This window comes from Homo sapiens, chromosome 16 (assembly GCF_000001405.40).
Source record: "Homo sapiens chromosome 16, GRCh38.p14 Primary Assembly".
NCBI lineage: Eukaryota > Metazoa > Chordata > Mammalia > Primates > Hominidae > Homo > Homo sapiens.
The window spans coordinates 12,635,720-12,659,599 of NC_000016.10; the positions used below are offsets into that span (position 1 = coordinate 12,635,720).

Below are 23,880 nucleotides of genomic sequence, written 5' to 3' on the forward strand. Positions count from 1 at the left end.
GCACCCACCTGTAGTCCCAACTATTTGGGAGGCTGAGGTGGGAGGACTCCTTGAGCCCAGGAGTTGGAGGCTGCAGTGAACTATGATCACACCACTGCACTCTAGCCCATGCAATAGAGCAAGATCCTGTCTCAAAAAAAACAACAAACAAACAAACAAACAAAAAGAAAAAAGCTTAGACTTTGATCCAACAATTCTACTGCAAGGAATTGTTTTTCTGTGAATATACTGCACATAAAGCAAGGACTGAGGATGTAAAGAGCTCACTGAGGTATTGTTTGTGATAACGAATGACCACATACAGCATAGACATCCATCCACACAATACGGAAATGATGTAATAAACACCATGGAAAGAATGTAGCATTCTTTGTGCTTTTGAGCCACTTCCAAATATCTTATTAAAATAATTGTGTGCCTTTTTAAAAAAATTAGATATACGTATTCCTAGACATGAGTATTCATATTTTCATAGAGACCCTGTCTCTACAAAAATAAAAATAATTAGCTGGGCATGATGGTGGTGTGTGCCTGCGGGCCCAGTTACTTGGGAGGCTGAGGCAGGAGGATCACTTGAACTTGAGCCTGGGAATTTGAGGCTGTAGTGAGCTGAGATCGTGCCACTGCACTCCAGCCTGGGCAACAGAGCGAGACTCCATCTCAAAAAAAAAAAAAAAAAAAAAACCACTTATGGAAGGATACACAAGGGACAGTTAAAATAGTCATGACTTGTGGGGAGGTGGCGTTGCAGGTCAGTGATAAAAGTGAGATTTGATTATTTATTTATTTATTCCTGTATTTATTTTTGAGATAGGGTCTTGCTCTGTCACCCTGGCAGGCTGCAGTGCGATGGCACTATCATGGCTCACTGCAGCCTCCAGCTTTGAGGCTCAAGTAATCCTCCCACTTCAGCCTCTTAAGTAGGTGGGACTATAGGCGTGCACCACCTTGCCCAGCTAATTTTTTATTTTTTATAGAGATGAGGATTCTCCATGTTTCTCTGGGCTAGTCTCGAACTCCGAGGCTCAACGGATCCTCCCACCTCGGCCTTTCAAAGTGCTGGGATTACCGGCTTAAGCTACTGTGTCCAGCTGATTTTTATAATGTATCTTCCGGTGCTGTTTGAAAATTTTACCATGTGGTTGTATTATCTATTCAGGAGGCTGAGGTGGGAGGATTTTTAAAAACTTTTTAAGAACTAACTACAAATAAAGAGATGCTACTGAAACAGTAGCTTCAGCGGGAAGGCAGTGATTTGGAGCATGTGTGGGTGGAGCACAGGCCCGGCGTCGTATTTCTAGGTGATCCTAATGGGTCTTGACACCTTCACCTAATTAAAGTGGGCGAGCACAGAGGTGTCTGCTGGTTCTCGGAGTGCATCTGTCACCGGTCCCGCCACAGCGGGAGGCTAGCATGCTGAGCATGTGGAATGTGGAGCCTCGGCCCTGCAGCCTGGGCAGCTGGAGTTCAGACCGCGGGTTCCCAGATCAGCTCCCAGCTCACTAGGCTTCTTGCTATGACAGATACAGGGCAGCAGAGTGTTCAGCCTCCAGCTTCCAGGCAGCCCACCTGCCCTTTCTGTGCTGTAAATGCCTCCTCCCAGGTTCATGGAGTGGCTACCGTGCCTTGAAGCCCACCTGTGTCCAGTCTAATGTGATGGTCATGAGTGTAGGCTCAGAGGGCAGAGAGAAGTGCCTTGGAGACCTGCTTTAGGCCAGGCGCGGTGGCTCACGCCTGTAATCCCAGCACTTTGGGAGTCTGAGGCAGGCGGATCACCTGAGGTCAGGAGTTCGAGACCAGCCTGGCCAACATGGTGAAACCCCATCTCTACCAAAAAAGTACAAAAACTAGCCGGGCTTGGTGGCATACGCTTGTAATCCCAGATACTCGGGAGCTGACGCAGGAGAATCGCTTAAACCTGGGAGGCGGAGGTTGCAGTGAGCCGAGATCATGCCATTGCACTCCAGCCTGGACGACAGAGTGAGAATCCATCTCAAATTAAAAATAATAATAAGAAAAACCCCGCTTCAACCACTTACTGTGCAGCCTTGAGAACTGTACCCAGTTTTTGTGAGCCCTTGTTTCCTCATTGGTAAGATAGAGTTAATAATATCTCTCTCTCCAGGGGCTGTAAGAATTAAATGAGGTCATTTGTAGGAAGAATTCATCAAATATCAATTATTTATTTCATGAACAAACCTTTATCAGGCACGCTAGTAGGTGCCAAATCCCCTGCTAGGAGCTGGAGATTTAAAAAATTATTTATTTATTTATTTATTATTGAGACAAAGTCTTGCTCTGTCACCCAGGCTAGAGTGCAATGGCATGACCTCCGCTCACTGCAGCTTCTACCCCCCGGGGTTCAAGCCATTCTCGTGACTCAGCCTCCTGAGTAGCTGAGATTACAGGTGCCCGCCACCATGCCTGGCTAATTTTTGTATTTTTTTGTGGAGACAAAATGAAAGAAAACATTGGGTTTCACCATGTTGGCCAGGCTGGTTTTGAACTCCTGACCTCAAGTGATCCTCCTGCCTCAGCCTCCCAAAGTGCTGGGATTACAGGTGTGAGCCACCGCACCCGGCCAAATTTTTTTTTTTAAACGGCTGGGCAAGATGGCTTCTGCCTGTAATCCTAGCACTTTGGGAGGCCTAGGTAGGAGGACCCCTTGAGCCCAGGAGTTTGAGACCAGCCTGGGCAATATCATAAGACCCTTGTCTCTACAAAACTCTTTTTTTTAAAAATTAGCCAGGTGTGGTGGCACATCCTGTAGTCCCAGCTACTCAGGAGGCTAAGGGAGGAGGCTCTCTTGAGCCCAGGAGTTTGAGGCTGAAGTAAGATATGATTGCACCACTGCACTCCAGCCTAGGTGACAGACCAAGACCTGTCTCTAAAAAAGAAAAAAACAGTGACATGGTTTTTGCCGTTAAGTAATTCACAGTCAAACAGAAAAGAGGTAATATATAATATTAATAGTTTTTAAAAAACAATCCCAGAAAAAAACTGTCCCAGATTTATCATCTTATTTAATTTTATTACAATCCTCTGAGGTAGCTATTATTATTCGTATTTTATACATGAGGAAATGAAGGTCCAGAGAAAAGTGGAGCAGTGCACTGGAAGGTAAAGGAAGTTAATTGGCTAACAGACAAGAGAATTCTCTGGGGTTCTCTGGTGACAGTTAACACACTCTTTCAAGGCTACTTTAAGCAATTTTTTTAAATGGAGGAAATTTGACATAGGGATCCAGGGGCCTCATGTAATGCCTGTCATCAAAGTGCAGACAATGTAGCTAGCCCTCCCCCAGGAAAAATAGGAAGTAGGACAAAGTATTTTCTGCATCAAAGCCAGGCCTGTCTTTCCTTCTTTCATCATTGCCTCCTTTTGTGCATCTGCCTCTTTCTTCATCGTCAATCTGTCTTCAGAGCACAGGGCAGAAAATGACGATCCTTGACTCAGACACATACCATCTCCATGACTGATACATACCATCTCCATGGAGGAGACCAGCCGAGATAGCAACAGGACTCCTCCAAGGAAAGACAATCTGGTTGGCCCAGGCTGGACCACGTGTTTACTTCTTGACCAATCAGCTATGGCTAGAAAGTCAAGTAGCCTGCTCATTGGTGGAGCAGGTAATCTTCAAACAGGAGGGTCTGGGTGGCTGTGTCCACCCTGGGAACCTCCAGAAAAACAATAAATTTCAATAAACAGAGCAAAAGGGGTGTCCAAAAAAGGACTTCCTGAAGAAGATGACATTGAAGCTTTTCCCCAAACGCTTGTCTTTTCTTCATTAAATCTATAATTTCCAAAGCACTTAAGTGATGTAGAATGTCTTATTTAGGTCAGCAAATGTTACCTTGAAAAATGAGAGAGAAAAAATAAAAACAGCCCTGGCCACTTTTCAATCCTTTTTATATAAAAGTACAATTATCCAATATGTCCCTGAAGGAATAGAGCTGGTACTCTCATGTATGCACTAACGAGTGTTCCCTAAAAAGATATGTCCACTTCCTAACCTCACGTACCTGGGAATGGACTCTTATTTGGAAATACAGTCTTTGCAGATGCAATTAAGTTAAGGATCTCAAGATGGAAGCATCCTGGATTATCCAAGTGGGTCCTAAATCCAATATCTATTGTCCTTATAAGAGAAAACACTGGGAAATTTAAGATACACAGTCACGGGGGAGAAAGCCATGTGAACTCACGTGTAGACGGAGGCAGAGACTGGAGTGATAGTTTACAAGCTGAGGAACACCAAAGATTGCTTCAACCACCAACAGCTGGGAGAGAGGCATGGAACAGATTCTCCCTCGGACCCTCTAGAAGAAAGGAACCCTTCCAAACCCTTCCCACACCTTGATTTCACATTTCTGGCCTCCAGAACTGTGAGAAAATAAATTTCTATTTTTTTTTTGTTTGTTTGTTTTGAGACAGAGTTTTGCTCTTGTTGGCCAGACCGGAGTGCAATTGTGCGATCTCGGCTCACCACAACCTCCACTTCCCAGATTCAAGCAATTCTCCTGCCTCAGCCTCCTGAGTAGCTGGGATTACAGGCATGCGCCACCACACTCTGCTAATTTTGTATTTTTAGTAGAGACGGGGTTCCTCCATGTTGGTCAGGCTGATCTCAAACTCCCAACCTCAGGTGATCCACCCTCCTGGGCCTCCCAAAGTGCTGGGATTACAGGCATGAGCCACCGCGCCCGGCCCAGTTTCTGTTGTTTTAAGCTGCCCATTTTATGGTAAGTTCTCACAGCAGCAACAGCAAACTAACACAGGTATCAGTACGTGCCTTCCCAAACAGCCATGGTGCTCAGGACACATGTAGCGCATGCCCCTTCAAAGGACAGCCAGCTCAGAATGAGACACTTCATGGGGGCCAGGTCTCCAATCACAGGAATGGAACCCCCACAGCCCTGTCTGTGTTACTGGAAGTTACCCTGCCCTGCCCTACCTATAGCTGATTGGTCAAAATTAGGCACTTGACCTAAGCCAGCCAATCTGGGTTTTCCCTGAGGATTCTTCTAGCCAGGAATAAGTCATTCATTCTCTTGTGGTTGGCGACAGAAATCATAAGATGGGAACCTGGCGCATGGAAGCACCTGTGTTTCCTGGTGCATGGAAATAAGAGTCTGTAGTATGAGGGAGTGAAGGCATAGCGAAAAGGAACAAGGTGGATGACTTGGAGACACTGAGATCCTTGAGACCACACTCTCTCTCCCTCCCCTTCCCGTGACCTGGGTGAACCGCCCATTTTGCATCCCATGAGCCAATACAGTTTTCTGGTTTTGGTTTAAGCTGATTTGAGTTAGCTTTCCACCACTTGTTGCATATATTTTGGTGGCAGTGCTTGAAATCTACCCTCTTAGCAGATTTCCAGTACCTATTACAGTATTATTATGATAGTCCTCATGTGGTGTATTACACCTCAAGAGGTAATTGAGGTGTAATATACCACATGAGGACTATCATTATAATAGTGTATCAGGTCAGGCTCAGTGGCTCATGCTTGCGATCCCAGCACTTTGGGAGGCCAAGGCGGGTGGAGCACTTGAGGTCAGGAGTTCTAGACCAGCCTGGCCAACATGGTAAAACCTCATTTCTACTAAAAATAACAATAACAATAATAATAATAATAATCCAGGCATGGTGGCGGGTGCCTGTAGTCCCAGCTACTCAGGAGGCTGAGGCAGGACAATCGCTTGAACTGGGGAGGTGGAGGTTGCAGTGAGCCGAGATCATGCCATTGCACTTCAGCTTGGGCAACAAGAGCGAAAATTCATCTCAAAAAAAAAAATTACTGTATGAATATACACATATTCATCCCACATAACTCCAACTTTACATTCTTTGGCCACCATCTCCCCACTTCCCCACCCCTGGCTACCACTATTTTACTCTGTTTGTATGTATTTATCTTTCTAAAATTCCACATATACGTGAGATCATGCGGTGTTTTTGTTTCTGTGTCTGGCTCATTTCACTTGGCATAATGTCCTCCAGGTACCCTTCCACAGAGGGTAGGAAGTCCTTTTTAAAGGCTGAATAATATTCCCATTTAAATAATACAATACTTGAGGGAGCTATAGCGCAGCTACATTTTGGACACCGTGTGGATCTCGGTGAACATTTACCTGTGGGGCCTGTCCAAATACCACTGAATGTTCACTTTGAAGGGAACTATTTGTGTAAGGCACACATTCTCACAGTGTGAGCTGGAAAACACTGATCACACTGATTTTTTTGTGTGTCACATGTTGTAGTAATGCATTTGTTGCTCAGACCGCCATGACACAACATCGTAGACTAAGTGGCTTACGCAGCAGATTTTTTTTTTCTTGCAGTTCTGGAGGCTGGAAGTCCAAGGTCAAGGTGCTGGCCAATTCACTTTCTGTGACTTAATCTCTTCCTGGCTTGCAGATGGCTGCTTTCTTGCTATGTCCTCTCCTGGACTTTCCTTGGTGCACGTGCAGACAAAGAGAGTGAGCAGACACTCTGGTGTCTCTGCTTTTTAAAAATCTTTTTAGACACAGAGTATTGCTCTGTTGCCCCGGCTGGAGCAGCAGATTGGTGCAATCTGTTGCACCAAGATTGTGATACAACCATAGTTCACTGCAGCCTCAACCTCCTGGGCTCAAGTGATCCTCCTGCCTCAAGCTCCAGAGTAGCTAGGACTACAGGTGCATGCCACCATGTCCAGTTAATTAATTTTTTTTCTTCTTTTGTAGAGATGAGATCTTGCTGTGCTGCCCAGACTGGTCTGGAACTTTTGGCCTCAAAAGATCCTCCTGCCTTGGCCTCCCAAAGTGCTTGGATTTCAGGCATGAGCCACCAAGCCCAACCTGGTGTCATCACTTCTCTCTCTTTTTTTTTTTTTTTGAGATGGAATCTTGCTGTTGCCCAGGCTGTAGTGCAGTGGCATGATCTCAGCTCACTGCAGCCTCCACCTCCTGGGTTCAAGCAATTCTCCTGCCTCAGCTTCCTGAGTAGCTTGGGATTACAGGCACCTGCTATCACACCTGGCTCATTTTTGTATTTTTAGTAGAGATGGGGTTTTGCCATGCTGGCCAGGCTGGTCTCAAACTCCTGACCTCTTGATCTGCCCACCTCAGCCTCCCAAAGTGCTTGGATTTCAGGTGTGAGCCACCAAGCCCAACCTGGTGTCTCTTCTTATAAGGACACAAATCCTATCAGATCAGGGCCCCACCCTTTTGACCTCAATTAATCTTAATTACTTTCTTAGAGGCTCCATCTCCAAATATAGCCACATTGGGGTTAGGGCTTTAATATATGAATTTGGGCTGGGGGGAACAAACAGTTCATCGCAAGTAGTCAGGACGAGTAATGGCAGCTGCAGTAATAAAACATCCCACCATATCAATGGCACACATTACAGTTCCATGCAAGTGTGTGGCAGTCAGCCTTCCACACGGTGCTTCGAGGGTTCAAGCTCTTTCCATCTGTGGCTCTGACTTCCTCATTCCCATGGGTCCACTCTACTCAGCTGGCAGACAGGGAAAGCGAGTGAAGCACTGTATGGGGTGTGTGTACGAGGCAGGCCTGGAAGAGGTGCCTGTCACTTCATCTCCTGTCCCACTTGCTAGAACTCTATCGTGTGGCTGCATTGAACTGCAAGGGAGACTGTCTATCGGGGTGTCTGGAATAAGGAAGTGGATTGAATGAACTGCTAGCCAATCTGTGCCACCATGGTGGAAAAGAGTTTGTGATGAAATCGACTTAGGAAAAGTTGTTTTTAAAACAGTTAGATGGGGGCTGGGTGTGGTGGCTTACACCTGTAATCCCAGCCCTTTAGAAGGCTGAGACGGCAGGATTGCTTGAGCCCAGGAGTTTGAGACCAGCCTGGGCAACATGGTGAAACCCCGTGTCTACAAGAAATACAAAAAAATAGCCAGGCAGGTGGCGGCGCACACCTGTAGTCCCAGCTACTTGGGAGGCTGAGGCAGGAGGACCCCTGAGCCCAGGATGTTGAGGCTTTGGTGAGCTGTGATCACGCCACTGCACTCTAGCCTGGGCAACAGAGTAAGACTGTCTCAAAAAACAAAAACAAAAAGACAAAACAAAACAAAACAACCCAGTCAGATGAATTACCTTACTGTGGAACATCTTAGGTCCTTTAGTGAACTACTGTGCATTGTGAATTGCTAAGACGGCAGGGAGTGAATGGTGTTTCTCATCCTGACTTAAAGACTAGCCCTGTTTTGCTCAAAGAGCTTCTTGTGGCAAAAATATCAGTGTAGAGCAATAGGTCCAAAACCAAGTGAAGAGGGATGAGTGTGGAGGGGGGGAATATGACCGGGTGTTGCAATGTGGATTTCGTGGGATGAGCAAATAAAGCTCAGGAAGTCAACATCAACACAGAAGAGGCAGCCTCACAGTGCAGCCCCGGTGCCCTGCCCTGACTGTGGAAGTCACCATCCTGGCCCCCAATGAGCTCATCGAAAGAGGGACGTTGTTCACGGGCACTGAGAGGTCAGATAAGTTCATTGCAGTTGAAGGCAATAAAGCAATTTGAAAACTTCAGTACGTCATCTCCTGTGGGTCAGAAGCTGTGCTTTTCTTGGCATCATCGTCAGCCTCAAGATGGGGGACAAACACTGGCATTGCTGAGAAATTTCTTGAGAGCTCCAGGGAGGCTCTCTGCATCAGCCTGGTCTGATGCACTGGCTGGATGGAAGTGCAGAAAACCGGTTCAAATGCAGAAAACCTCTTTTCTGACCACCTGGGTCCTTCGGAGCTGATGTGGGGTATACAGTGGAGTCCAGATTATGCAAGCTTAGGCAGGGCTGCCTCAAGTGCGGTGGGAAGGTAGATGCTGGAAACACTCAGAACTCTGCTCAAAGCCTGGCTCTGGCTTTGTTTCCTTACCTGTAAAGTGGGGACAATAGACCCTGCTCCAAATGAAAATATGAATACAGATAACAACAACAACAGTGATGATTAATTGAACACTTACTATGTACAAGGCACCGTGAACTATTTTACTTACATCATCTCTCATCCTTTCAGCAGTGGTTCTCAACCAGGGGTGAATTTGCCCCTCAGTGGACACTGGGCAATGTTTGGAAACATTTTTGGTTGTCACAACCAGGGGAGGGGTAGTGCTACTGGCATCCAGTGAATAGAGGCCAGGGTAAGATCCTACAGCTCATGGGACAGCCCCTAGAGCAAGGAATGATACAGCCCAAAGTGTTGACATTGCTGAGGTTGAGAAATCTGACTTCCAGGGATCCTTCAAGATTGTTCCACCCTTCCCCATTTTACAGATGAAGGAACTGAGGCTCAGACATTATCTAATTTGGAGAAGTCTAGACCTGAACCGACCCGATAGCCATTGTTTGCAATGCCTCTGCGAGCATGTGTGTGTGTGTATGTGTGTTTGTGTGTGTGTACATGCCATCCCCCTTCCTCTCACCATTCTTGTTTATTGACCTTGAGCAAACTCCTCTTCCTCTCATGGTTGTTCCAATCCGTGCTAATCATGAGAGTGTGCAACTCATGGTACTTTAAAATCAATAAGAAAGGCTTAGCTGGGGGTGGTGGCTCATGCCTGTAATCCCAGCACTTTGGGAGGCCGAGGTGGGTGGATCATTGAGGTCAGGACTTTGAGACCAACCTGGGCAACATGATGAAACCCCATCTCTACTAAAAATACAAAAATTAGCCAGGTGTGGTGGCACACACCTGTAATCCCAGCTTCTTAGAAAGCTGAGGCATGAGAATTACTTGAACCCAGGAGGCAGATGTTGTAGTGAGCCAAGATCGTGTCACTGCACTCCAGCCTGGGTGATAGAGTGAGATTCGGTCTCAAAAAAAAAACAACAACAAAAAAGTAAACTAGCTTTCCATTTCCTTTGATAATTTTAAACATTTACTTATTAGATAATTTTTTTGTAAAAAAGAGTCAATGTGTGGCCGGGTGCGGTGGCTCACACCTGTAATCCCAGCATTTTGGGAGGCCAAGGCAGGCGGATCACTTGAGGTCAGGAATCTGAGACCATCCTGGCCAACATGGTGAAAGCCCGTCTCTACTAAAAATACAAAAATTAGCTGGGTGTGGTGGCGCGTGCCTGTAATCCCAGCTACTCGGGAGGGTGGGGCACGAGAATCTCTTGAGCCTGAGAGGTGGAGGTTGTAGTGACCTGAGATTGCACCACTGCACTCCAGCCTGGCAACAGAGCGAGACTCTGTCTCAAAAATAAAAATAAATAAATAAATAAATAAATAAATAAATAAATAAAACAAGTCAATGTGGCAAAAAGTGTGAAGATGATATATTAAACATGACTGCCATTTGGGAAATATGGTTCTAGGGCTGTCCAGCTGGACTTTCTGCAATGATTGAAATGTTCTATTCTGTGCTATCCAATAGCCACATGTGGCTATTGAGTACTTGAAAGGTGGCTAGTGTAACTGAGGCACTGAATTTTAAAATTTTATTTTACTATATAAAGACAATGCAGATCTTGGGTGATAACCGTGATTGATAATGCATGCCTGGAATACTGTCTTTAGGAGGACTCAGCGGTCAGTAGTTCTGTGACAGATTATTAATGCCTGGTGTGGGTATGAGGGGGAATGTGATGGTGAGAGTGTCATTTATTGGCCATCCCTAGACTACGTTTTCTTAGAGGGTCCTTCTAGCTCTAACATTTCAGAATGATATATTCTTCCCTAAGCCTTCGGTAGAATTTAGTACCCAATTAATGATCTGTCTAACCCAGGATGTCATGGAACTATTTGTTTCTGATTTCTGTGTTTTTTAGAAAACCTCACACCATCTGCTTGTTTCCTGATAAACGTAGAGACTACTGATTAGAAGGCTTCACTTTAAAGTATTTACCCATATCTACATGCATTTGCCTGAAGCTAATTATTTCAGGCTGGTGAGATGTGAGTCACCATTTCCTTTTCTCAAGAAAGACACTAAAAAGTCACCTCTTTAGAGGCAGGGGATCATTACCAACGGAAAAGGAAGGACCCCATCTGTTTAATGTGTGGCTAAAAGTGGGGTGCTGGAAATAACCTTTCTCCACGTGACTACAGAGTTGGGACAGGCTGTCAACAGGCTTCGGCTATCTTGGAGAGAAAGTCCCAGATTCTGCCATGGAGAACAGAGGCAAGGCATGGCATGGAACGCTCCCTCCACCCACCGCCATAGAAGCTGAATGTCAAGCAGGTTGGCAGCTTTCCCCAGCCCTCCCCCAGTGTCCCTGCCAGGCACGGAAGGACGGGTCACAGGGCTGACCCTGGCTGGCATTTCAGACAGCTTTATAATTACACCATCTATTTTTCAACTTGCCACTGACCTTTTGGTCTTCTCATTTGTGAGCATGCGAGCATGTGTGTATGTGTGTGCGTTGGATGTGTCTTCTTTTATCTTTGCTTGATGCTCTCATCCTCATTTCCTTTTCTCTTCTCCTCTGGTCTTGTTTATCATTTAAACCACAGGTTGTTAGGGCCAAGTTGGTTTCTCTTTCCTTCTGCTTTATCCTATTATGGAATTATCTAGAATGAGCCCTGTCATCTCTCTGACCTCACTTTCCCATCTGTCAAATCAAAGGTTTTGATTGGATCATAAGAATTGGTAACATTGAATTTTTTTTTTTTTTTTTTTTTTTTTTGAGACAGAGTCTCACTCTGTCCCCCAGGCTGGAGTGCAGTGGCATGATCTTGGCTCACTGCAACCTCCGCCTCCCAGGTTCAACTAATTCTTCTGCCTTAGCCTCCCCAATAGCTGGGGACTACAGGTGCGTGCCACCACTCCTGGCTAATTTTTGTATTTTTAGTAGAGACGGGGTTTCACCACGTTGGCCAGGCTGGTTCGAACTCCTGACCTTGTGATCTGTCCGCCGCAGCCTCCCAAAGTGCTGGGATTACAGGCATAAACCACTGCACCCAGCCAACATAGAACTCTTGACTCTGCCCACCATATTGCTGTCACCTGCTGTCACTGCCTTAGTCCAAGTCCTCATCACCTGTCACCATTGGGACCAAGGTTCTATCACTCCAGAATGGTACCCCCACCCTTGGGCTCCCCTCCAATCTGTTCATGAACCTGAGCTAGAGGCATCTTTTGGAAATGCCCATTGGATCATGTCACTCCCCCATCGTCCTTGTACCCTCCAAGCCCAGCCTCCCTAACATGTCCTCTGAGGCGAATCATCAGGTCCACCATCTGCCCACCTCTCGTCCCCACTCTACGTCACTCTCCTGCACTCTCTACCCTCCAGCCCTCCTGGCCCTCAGTTCCTCAAGCATGTTAGTCTCCCTCTGGTAACAGACATTTCTGCCGGTGGTCCCCTATCCTAGAACAGCTGTTTTCTAACATGGTTGCATATTGGAATCGCCTTGGGAGCTTAAAAAAATCCTAATGCCCAGGCTTTACCCCAGACCATTTGGATCAGAGTCTTTGGAGGGGCAGTGTGGGCAACAGTATTTTTTTTTTTTTTGAAATGGAGTTTCGCTCTTGTTGCCCAGGCTGGAGTGCAATGGTGCAATCTCGACTCACCGCAACCTCCGCCTCCCGGGTTCAAGTGATTCTCCTGCCTCAGCCTCCCAAGTAGCTGGGATTACAGGCATGTGCCACCATACCCAGCTAGTTTTTGTATTTTTAGTAGAGACGGGGTTTCAGCATCTTGGCCAGGCTGGTCTTGAACTCCTGACCTCAGGTGATTCACCCACCTCAGCCTCCCAAAGTGCTGGGATTACAGGCGTGAGCCACCATGCCTGGCCAACAGTACTCTTTAAATTTCCCCAGATGACTCCAATGAGCAACCAAGGTTGTGAACCAATGGCCTAGGATGCCCTTTTTCCTTTCCTCCGCTCTCATCAACTCATCCCTTAGAGGCGATGTCAAAATTTCATCTCTGGTTTCCACCTACGTCTAAGTTGGACCCCTTGTTTTATGCTCTCACAGGACCATGGGCTGTATTTTGAGAGCACATAGCTCAGTTTGCAATGACATATGTGTTAGTGTGATGTTTGATTACTGTCTTTCTCCCTGACTGTGGGACCAGCCTCTAAGATGGCACCCAATGTTCTCCACCTCCTGCTGTTACACCCTGTAAGGTGTGATCCCTTCCCACATTGTACCAGCCTTGGTTTCTGTGACCAGTTGCATATGGCAGAGGTGATGGTATGTCACTCTCAAGATTAAGTTTTAAAACACGACGACTTCCATCTTGAGGATTCTCTCTCCCCTGGATCACTAACTTTGGGGGAAGCCAATCCCCATGTCATGGGGTCATGAGGACATTCAAGGCAGCCTATGAAGAGATGCAGGTAAGAAACAAAGACCTCTGGCCAGTAAGGAATTGCAGCCAGCCAAGAGCCAAGGGGGATCACCTGAGATCGGGGGTTCGAGACCAGCCCGACCAATATGATGAACCCCTGTCTCTACTAAATATACAAAAATTAGCTGGGTGTGGTGGCACATGCCTGTAATCCCAGCTACTTGGGAGGCTGAGACACGAGAATCACTTGAACCTGGGAGGCGGATGCTGTAGTCAGACGAGATTGTACCACTGCACTCCAGTCTGGGCGACAGAGTAAGACTCTGTCTCAAAAAAAAAAAACAAACAAAAAACATACTCCCTTGTCAAGCCTAAAACCCCCTCCCCAGCCTCTAGCTCTGGCTTATGGGAGTCAGTTGCAGAGGTAGAATGGACAAGAAATGGGACTTGAGATCAACATTGTGGAATGTTGTAGCAATCAGGCCTCTTTTGGTTTGCAAACAACAGAAAACTGACTGAAGCAAAGAAAGAAAGTTATTGGCAGCCAGGCACTGACTAGCTTCAGGTATGGCTAGACCCAGGGGTTCATTCTGGTCCCTTGCTTCTTTCTTCTTATTCTCTCTTCTCCCTGTTTCTCTTCCCTAGTTTCTTCTATGATGGCTACATTCCTTGGTAAGCTCTCTTCTAGGTGGGATCCCCCACCAGTTCCAAACATGCACCACCCCTTCCAGCGAACTCCAGTGGAAAGAGATCTTCTGCTAATACATCCAACGAGAAGCCTGGGATACACATCCTTGGTTTGACTTGGGTTCTGTGGCCCTCTGTGACACCCCTGGCATGTGGCCAGAACTGTGGCACCTGATACCTCACAGGTACTTCTGCTTCCACCATGGCAAAGCCCAGGATAACGCCAGTGCCATCTAAACAACAGAAACTAATGTCGGGGATAGTAGGACCTCCAAAGTACAGTGAGAAGGCATAATGGGCCAGGCATGGTGGCTCATATCTGTAATCCCAGCACTTTGGGAGGCAAGCAGATCACTTGATGTCAGGAGTTCAAAACCAGCCTGACCAACATGATGAAACCCCCTCTCTACTAAAAATACAAAACTAGCTGGGCGTGGTAGTAATCCCAGCTACCCGGAAGGCTGAGGCAGGAGAATCACTTCAACCTGGCAGGCAGGGGTTGCAGTGAGCCAAAGTTGCACCACTGCACTCCAGCCTGGGTGACAGAGCAAGACTCTGTCTCAAAAAAAAAAAAAAAAAAAAAAAAAGGCATAATGGATGCTGCACAGGTGTCCATCATAGGTGGGTGGTTCCCATGGACAGTAAGTCACCCTGGATGGAGGTTACATTTCGGTGGTCAGAAAGACTGTTAATCAAATCCAAGAACCTTCTATAAAAGAGAGATGAGTCACCAGGAAATCACTGGGTGATTTCCATGAGAAGGAGCCATCAGATATATCCCTGGCACAGAGTAGGTACTCGATAATTTGCTGAATTAATGTAGAAATGAGTGTAAAGTCTGGGCACAGTGGGTCACACCTGAAATCCCAGCACTTTGGAAGGCTGAGGCAGGAGGATAGCTTGAGCCCAAGAGTTCAAGACCAGCCTGGGCAACATAGCTCCCTACCCCATCTCTACATTTTTTTAAAAAAATTAGCCAGGTGTGGTGGTGCACGCCCGTAATCACAACTACTTAGGAGACTGAGGCAGGAGGATGGATCACTTGAGCCCGGAAGTCAAGGCTGTGGTGAGCTATGATCAGAGCACAGCACTCCAGCCTGGGCCACAGAGCAAGACCCTGTCTCTAAAAAGAAAAAAGGAAATGAGTGAAAGGCAGTGGAGGGCACACTGGGGAACTGGAAGACCCCTAGCTGGTTTATGGGCATCGTGGAAAGTGGCACATGGAGGAGGGAACAGCTTCTACTCAGAGGGAGTTGCAGACAAAGTAAAACGAGGAGTAAGAGGGGCTCAGGACTCAGAGGAGAGGCTGAGAATGCAGGGGGATTTGCTTCACAGAAACAAGAGCTCTGGGGGCTTCAGTGGAAAATTGAGAGAAGGAGGGGCAGGAAGGGGGAAAGGAAGCGTGCTGTGTGTGTGCACAAGAACACAAGTCTGGGCCCAGCGTGGCAGTGCACACCTGTAATCCCAGCACTCTGGGAGGCAGAGGTGGGTGAATCACTTGAGGCCAGGAGTTCGAGACCAGCCTGACCAACACATGAAACCCCATCTCTACTGAAAATACAAAAAAAAAAAAAAAGAAAAAAGAAAAATTAGCTGGGTGTGGTGGCACACACCTGTAGTTCCAGCTACTCGGGAGGCTGAAGCACGAGAATCACTTGAGCTGGGAGGCAGAGGTTGCAGTGAGCTGAGACGGCAGCACTGCACTGCACTCCAGCCTGGGCGACAGAGTGAGGCTCTGCCTTAAAAAAAAAAAAAGAGAGAGAGAAAAAAAACCCAAAAACCAGAAGACTGGATTGACAGATTGAGCTAGAGTCTGCATGGAGAGGAAGGATGATATGGGTGGGGGACATGGTGGAATGAGCTGTCCTCAGGGTGCCATATAAAGTCCTGGAAGCAAACTGGAGTCTGGCGATTGGTCCTGTGTTTGGATGGAAAAGCAGAGGTCACTGGGGTTGAGAAGTGTCTGTGTGAGAGAGAAAGAGAACCTGGAGGTCACCTCCTTTCTCCCCCAGTGGCGCATGGCTTTTATCTTACTGATTTTCTGGAACTGAATGATGTAAACCAAGAAGAAAGTGTTGTTGTCAAATTGACATTCTCAGTCTGTAATTAACTACTCCTTTCTGTTTTTAAACAAAGCATACTGTAAAATTTATTAGTATCAATGAATATTTGTATCCACGCTAAATCTTTTAGGTATTGAACTGTTTCCTTTATGTTAGGTCTGATTTCATCACAATAAATGGTACCCAGGGGCATGATGATTGCATTGGTTGTTTAATCTGAATTTTGGATGCCTGGCAAAATCCATGCCAATACAATTAGCTTTAGAGCACCTGACGGATCCGACTGGAGCCAAGATCAGCAAGGTGTCCACGACAAAGAGGAGCAGACATGAGTTCCCAATTTCTGGTTCCCCAGGATCTGATGTGATCACCTGTGGAAAAAGCCCATCATGTACTGAAAGGGTGTTAAAATTATCAGCCCTGCTGGGGAGATGTTGCTGAACTGTCTACACAACATCAAAACGCTTGTTTTCTTAAATGATAATTAGAGCAGCTCCATGGGAGAGCTAGTTCATAAAGACGCTCCCCGTGAAACTGCTCCATCCACACAAACAAGCCAGACGCGGTGCTGTGACCAGAAGGGCAGAGGCCACCGCTAATTAGACATGACATCAGCATTTATACTCTGCTGACCAATTACGTCGGAAGAAGTAAATAAAGCTAATGAAACTTTCCTTTCATCCAAGCTAGGAGCTGCAGACTCTCCGTAGGTGAGTAACGTTGGCCCAGAAACGCCTCTGCTGGAGATCTTTCGGGTAATGTGTGACTTTATTCCTAGAATTCCTTGGAGAGAAAAAAAAATACTTAACTAAATTGAATAATGAAATAAATAAACTTGGTTCCATTTGTCAGTGGAGACATAATTTGAGGATGAAAATAATTTACTTACTTTTTTTTTTTTTTGAGGAGACAGAGTCTCACTCTGTTGCCTAGGCTGGAGTGCAACGGCAATTCTCCTGCTTCAGCCCCCCGAGTAGCTGGGATTATAGGCGCACACCACCATGCCTGGCTGATTTTTGTATTTTTAGTGGCGATGAGGTTTCACCATGTTGGCCAGGCTGGTCTCGAACTCCAGACCTCAAGTGATCTGCCCACCTTGACCTCCCAAAGTGCTGGGATTATAGGCGTGAGCCACTGCTCCCGGCCAAAAATAATTTACATTCCAGTGTCTGATTCCAAGAGGAGCAGACCTGCTTCTTCATCTAAAAGAAGAAAGCCTGGGGTCCTATTTGTGAACATGCTTTATCCTTTTTGGGTAAGGGAGTACATATGTCATTCCAACTCCCCCTGCCACAGAAGGCTAGAGGCTTGGTACAGTGGAGGGGTAATTGGTGCTGGGACCACAATGCTTGGGTTTGAATCCCAACTCTGACACTCACAAGCTACGTGACCTTGAGCAAGTTCCTCAGTGTCTGAGGTCTCAGTTTTCTCATCTGAAAAATGGGAATAATCAAAATACTTACCTTGGTGGGGTTGTTTTTAGCGCTCAGTGAGTTCATACATGGGAAGTAATCACAATAGTCTCAGGCCACGTAGCTGACGTCTCAGCTGCCTGCTCCTTTATAGACAAGAGGGAAAGTTTGTTTTGTTCCTTTGAAGCTGCATTATAAAAAAATTTGACTGCTGCTGTGCTATCAAATGTAGTTTTTTTTTGTTTGTTTGTTTGTTTTTGAGACTAAGCTTCACTCACTCTGTTGCCTGGGCTGAAGTGCAGTGGTGCAATCTCGGCTCACTGCAACCTCCACCTCCTGGGATCAGTGATTCTCCTGCCTCAGCCTCCCGAGTTTCTGGGACTACAGGCATGTGCCACCACACTCGACTAATTTTTGTATTTTTAGTAGAGATGGGGTTCACCATGTTGGCTAGTTGGTCTCGAACTCCTGACCTCAGGTGATATCCCCCCACCTCTGCCTCCCAAAGTGCTGAAATTACAGGCATAAGTCACTGCACCCAGCCCAAATCTAGCTTTAAGAACCCAGTCTGGGAGGCTAAGCACATTTTAAGGGGGACCATGGGCCCCTCATGGATGCACGGCTGGGCTCTGTGCTGGGGGATGAGGGTGGAGGAACAAACACGTGATGTTTGAAGATGATCAATGTCATGATTATCTATTATGCAAATACTCTGCACAGACACAATGGACAGTGCAGAAGCATTTGGTTATATTCTGCCAAGATTTGCTCATGTATCAGTGCTAAGGTGTCAAGAAGGCTCATGTTAACCTTAAGGGAAAGGTACTATATTGTCCCCATTTTATAGATAAAGAAACTGAGTCTCAGAAACAGGACATGACCTACCCAAGGCCGCAGAATCATTGAGTGGCAGAGCTAGCAATGGAACCCAGGTGGCCCAACTCCATCCCTTTAACACTTCTCCCTTCCTTTTCTTTCTTTCCTTCCTTTTTCTTTCTTTTTCATTCTTTCTTTCTTTTTCTTTCTTTCTTTCTTTTTCTTTCTCTTTTTTCTTTTTTCCTTTTCTCTTTCCTTCTTTTTCTTCTCTTTTTCTTTTTCCTTTCCTTCCTTCCTTTCTTTCTTCTTTCTTTCCTTTCTTTCTTTTTCTTCTCTTTCCCTCCCTCCCTCCCTTCCTTCTCTCTCTCTCTCTCTCCTTTCTTTTTTTTTCCCAGAATCTCTCTCTGTTGCCCAGGCTGGAGTGCAATGGCACGATCTGGGCTCACTACAACCTCTGCCTCGTGGGTTCAAGCGATTCTCCTGCCTCAGCCTCCCGAGAAGCTGGGACTACAGGCGTGCGCCACCACGCCTGGCTAATTTTTTAATTTTTAGTAGAGATGGGGCTTCACCTCGTTGGCCAGTCTGGTCTCGAACTCCTGACCTCAAGTGATCCACCTGCCTTGGCCTCCCAAAGTGCTGGGATTACAGGTGTGAGCCACCGTGCCTGGCCCATTTTTAACTGTATCTGTCTTTCTAGCATTTTCTGCACGTTAAGGAGGCCACCGATGGCGAAGCTGGGTTTTGATTTCAGAAACAGTAAAATGTGAAAAAAATGCGCATCTTAGAATTGAGGAGACGCACCCTGCCCTGGAGGTGACGTTCTGTGTCTTGTGTGCTCACTACAAGAATGGCTCTTGGAGGAGTGGACTGAAAACTTCTGCACTGTGCTGCCCACCCGGCGGTGCTGGGGGAGGTGCTCAGGTATGGCTGGGGGAGTCAGGGAGCAGGTGAGATGGGAGCTGGTCCCTGAAAGAAGTTTGGGCGGAGCAGTGGTCCAGGAGTTGTTCTAACTAAGGAACATCACCAGGAAAGGCCTAAGGAAAAGAGGCCCTGGGGGAGGCGGTTCCTCCAAGGAGAGTCCTGAGGCCTTAGCAACTGTGAGTTGTGAGACATTGGGGCACAGGACAGAGGCAGAACCTGAGTTTCTGGTTTAAGGCACGTGGGTAGGGGCTGTTGCTATTTGTCGAGACAGAGAAATACGAGACAGGCGTAGTGTCTCACACCTGTAATCCCAGCACTTTGGGAGGCTGAGGTGGGTGGATTGCTTGAGCTCAGGAGTTCAAGACCAGCCTGGGAAACAGTGAAACCCTGTCTCTACTAAAAAATACAAAAATTAGCCAGGCATGGTGGCTGGTGCCTGTGGTCCAGCTTCCCACTTGGGGAGGCTGAGGCGGGAGGATCACTTGAGCCTGGGAGGTAGAGGTTGCAATAAGCCGAGATCGTGCCGCTGAACTCCCCCCTGGGGTACAGAGGGAAACCCTGTCTTGAAAGAAAGAAAAGAAAAGAAAAAAAAACAAGAGAAAGTGCTTTCGGAACAGAGATGAATTAAAGTTTGGAAATGGTGTGTGTGCGTTGTTTTGGGGACACTGTCATGCTGTCCAGTCAGCGGAAGTTCATCTTGTCTTAAAATCATTCTATGTGGGAACTGTCATCACATACACAGTAATGAATGTGATTGGTGTCGGTCAGGTTTCCTAGGAACGTCAGGGAGCAGAGAAGGCTGCCCAGGACACAGGAAACATCAGTGTTTAAGTCGTCTCGCAAGAGACAAAGGCTGCTCTCTGTTCACCCGCGCCAGGCACAGGGCGCGGTACCTCCTCGGCAAGTCTTTGGAATGGATGAATAATCGGAAGGTTCATGGTGTTGGGAGGGTTGCTGAGCAGGGAAGCCTTAAATCCAGAAAGCCTCATCTGCTTCACAATGAAACACAGCACAGAGGAAGCAACAAGGAGGCAACACACATTTATAAGAAGGGTGAGGCCCCAGGCCAGGCAATGAGGACACAGTGGCTATGAAGACACTGCTCCTGCTCTCAGGGTATCATGTTGGATTTCATCCCACAACGACATAACAGAACAGGAAAACCCGAACCTATAGGGTAAATACAATACCATGTCACTTTAACAGTTTTTCACACCAAAATATGTGGTTTAAGGGTGTGATATTGCAGTTTGGTAGCCTTTTTTTTTTTCTTCCTTTTTTTTTCAGAGACAGGGTCTTGCTTTGTTACCCAGGCTGGAGTGCAGTGGCATGATCACAGCTCACTGTAGTCTTGACCTCCTGGGCTCAAGCGATCCTCCCATCTCAGCCTCCCAAGTAGCTAGGACTACAGATGTGTGTCACCATGCCTAGCTAACTTTTTATATTTGTAGAGATGGGAGGGGTGGTCTCACTATGTTGCCTAGGCTTGTCTTGAACTCAAGCAATCCTCCCCTCTCAGAATCCCAAAGTGCTGGGATTATAGGTGTGAGCTACTGCACCACTGAGCCAAAAACCTGCCTTGGTAGCTTTTTATTAATTACTCATTATTTTATTTTATTTTTTAGATGGAGTCTCACTCACTTTTGTCCAGGCTGGAGTGCTGTGGCATGATCTTGGCTCACTGCAACCTCTGCCTCCTGGGTTCAAGTGATTCTCCTGCCTCAGCCTCCCGAGTAGCTGGGACTACAGGCATGTGCCACCACGCCTGGTCAATTTTTCTATTTTTGGTAGAGACGGGGTTTCACCATGTTGGCCAGGCTGGTCTCAAACTCCCGACCTCAAGTGATCCACCTGACTTGGCCTCCCAAAGTGCTGGGATTACAGGTGTGAGCCACTGCACCCGGCCTCCTTGGTAGCTTAAGAGAGCAAATCCAGAGTATTTCAAAAATACTATGAGATGAAATCATTAGCTCTTTTTGTGGAAGCTTGAAAGGACAGCTTGGAAGACCAAGGAGAGACTTTCAAACATCACAGTAACAGGCTACATCCTGGATCCGCTCTCCTTCAGTGCCTACAACACATCCATATGGTCTGCCCAGAGGCAGGGATTCCGTGAAAGGCAGATGTCACCCGTTCTATACAGATGGTGGCTCTTTCCTGACATGACCAAGGCGAACTGTGCATAAATCCAGAAAGCCTCACCTGCTTCACAATGAAACACAGCACAGGGTGCCTCTGAGAGAGGAATTAGCAGGAAATGGACATGCGCCTATCAAACAATGGATCGATTACATTATCCCACGTCTCCATCCACTGCCCTAGCCTCATTGGCCTTTCCATTCCCTCCATTCTGGTCTCTAAAAAGAAGGGTTCGGCTGGGCATGGAGGCTCACACCTGTAATCCCAACACTTTAGGAAGCCAAGGTGGGTGGATCACTTGAGGTCAGGAGTTGGAGATATGGCTATGTTGCCCAGGCTGCAGTTCTTTATGTATTTTGGATACAAGCCCTTTATCTGATAAATGTGCTGCAATTTATTTTTCCAGCCTTGCCTCCCATTTTCTAATATCACTGAAGAGCAAAATCTTTATAATAAAGTCCAATTTAGTAATATTTTGCTTCGTGACTCACGTTTTCTGTTTGTTGAGCATAGAGAATTTAATTTTTTAAAAAATTTCACAAAATATGAGAAGTTGTTGGCTAGCATTTTTCCAAATTTTTGGGGGCCCATTCTTTCTTTCCTTTCTGGTACTCATCACCTGTACTTTAGACTTTTGATATAGGGTCCTGAAGCTTTGCTTAATAAAATCCTTTTTGTCTTTGTATTTTAGAATGAATACTTTCTACTGATCTGTCTTCATGTTTCCTGACTCTTTTCTCTCTTCTCCATTCTGCTATTAAGCCCATCCAGTAAGTTTTAAAATTTCAGATGTTATATTTTTCAGTTCTGAAATTTTCATTTGATTTTTTCTATGTTCTAGGAGATATCATTTCTTTTCATTCATACTAAGTATATTTTCCTTTACTTTATAAAGCTTTGTTATAGGAGCTGCTCTGTTCTCCTGCAGTGATAATTCCAACATCTGGGGCATCTTAGGACTGTTTTATCCTTTGAGAGTGATGTATTTTCTTTTCTTTTTTCTGTTGTTGCTTTTGTTGTATGTCAAGCAATTTTGGGTTGTATGCTGGGGATTGTGGATATTACATTGTGGAGAACTAGGATTCAGTTATATTCTTCTGAAGAATGTTGAGGCTTTTGCAGGCAATTAACTTGATCAGACTCCAGTGGTAAGCTTTCTATTGCTTCCTCTGGGCAGTGATTCAAATCTTGGTTCAATTCTTTAAGCCTCTGTTGCCCTGTCTGTCCTGCTCATGCATGCTTTGGGGGTAAGCAAGAGATCTGTGTGACGCTCATATACAAATCAGAGGCTTCCTATCCCTGGCTTGTCTCCCTGCTAGGACTCCTCACTCCCCAGTGACCCAGGCTTCTTCCTCTGGTATCTCTGGTCTAATACACAGTGAATGTTAGGCCAGGCCTGGTGGTTCATGCCTGTTAACACTAGCACTTTGGGAGGCCAAGGCAGGTGAGTCACTTGAGCCCAGCAGTTTGAGGCCAGCCTGAGCAACATGGCGAAACTCCATCTACCAAAAATACAAAAATTAGCTGGGTGTGGTGGTGCATGCCTTTGGTCCCAGCTACTTGGGAGGCCGAGGCAGGAGGACTGCTTGAACCTGGGAGGTGGAGATTCTCATGTGCTGAGATTAAGCCACTGCACTCCAGCCTGGACAACAGAGCGGGACCTCGTGTCAAAAAAAAAAAAAAAAAAGTGAATTTTGAGAAAAACTTTATTGACCTCTGGTGTGCTGCTTTGCAATTGTGGTTTGCCCTCAGACCAGTGTGGAGGGGAGGAGAGACTCACCAAGGTTTTGAGTTCCTTGCATGTCTTCACTCTGAATCGCCAGGTAGGTCTTTTCGTCTATAAAGTTATCTGTAGGAAGTTTGGACTATAGGGGCTTAAACCACTCAACTCCAGCTGGAGTCAATTCCTTTTTTGTTCAGGGTGCACAAGCCTGGAGTTTTCAGATTCCCTTTTACTCCTTCTGTGACTTCCATCTTTCCTGTCTTTCTGTCCTTAGGTATCTTGCAGTGCTGCTAGATTTTCCCAGGAATCTTATTCATTCCCATGACGTCCCTGGGCTGCACTCCCATGATGCAGTTTTCAGTGTTTCCTGAGTTTCATGCCTGTATTTCAAGCCATCTCTTTTACATTCACATAGAACCTTCAGTCTAGAGTCACTCTCTTGTCTGGCTCACCTGCTTTGGTTACTGTACAGTATTTGTTCAGTGAACTAGGCTTAGAATTACTACAAGTAGAGGATATTTTTGTTATCACCTCCAATTTCTTCACCGAGTGCACTGAACTAAAGATGACAATGATGCTGCTAGTTATTGATGGAACTACTGAGAATACTTCACTTTGAGGACAATCCCACAAGGACTACTACCAGGCTTAGGAATATCACTTCCTTCCCTTTCTTCCTCCCCTATCGATTGAGTGTTCATAGTGATAATCGGTATAGATTACTATGTGATCGCCATAGCTATATAGCTTTACCCACCATCCATTGCTGAGTATTCTTTGAGCAGCAACTCTATGCCCTTAGGCACAGTTCCAGCTGCTGGGGATAGAGTGGCAAATGGGACAGACATGGTCCCTGCTGTCTG

At 46.3% G+C, this 23,880-nt stretch overlaps 1 long non-coding RNA gene across 1 annotated transcript, besides 1 other annotated feature; it reads right to left on the reverse strand.

The window, feature by feature from the left end:
- Positions 3,313–3,607: an enhancer, noted in NCBI's record as "tiled region #11276; HepG2 Activating DNase matched - State 10:DNaseD". NCBI's record gives its function as "activates a minimal TATA promoter and a strong SV40 promoter by Sharpr-MPRA in HepG2 cells {active_cell/tissue: HepG2}" and the evidence as "EXISTENCE:reporter gene assay evidence [ECO:0000049][PMID:27701403]".
- Positions 16,065–17,654, reverse strand: LOC105371088 (uncharacterized). Its single transcript, XR_933085.3, has 2 exons — positions 17,470–17,654; positions 16,065–16,789 (listed from the first exon to the last, which is right to left on the reverse strand). It is a non-coding gene; the product is annotated as an uncharacterized LOC105371088 (long non-coding RNA).
- Positions 17,655–23,880: the final 6,226 nt, after the last annotated feature.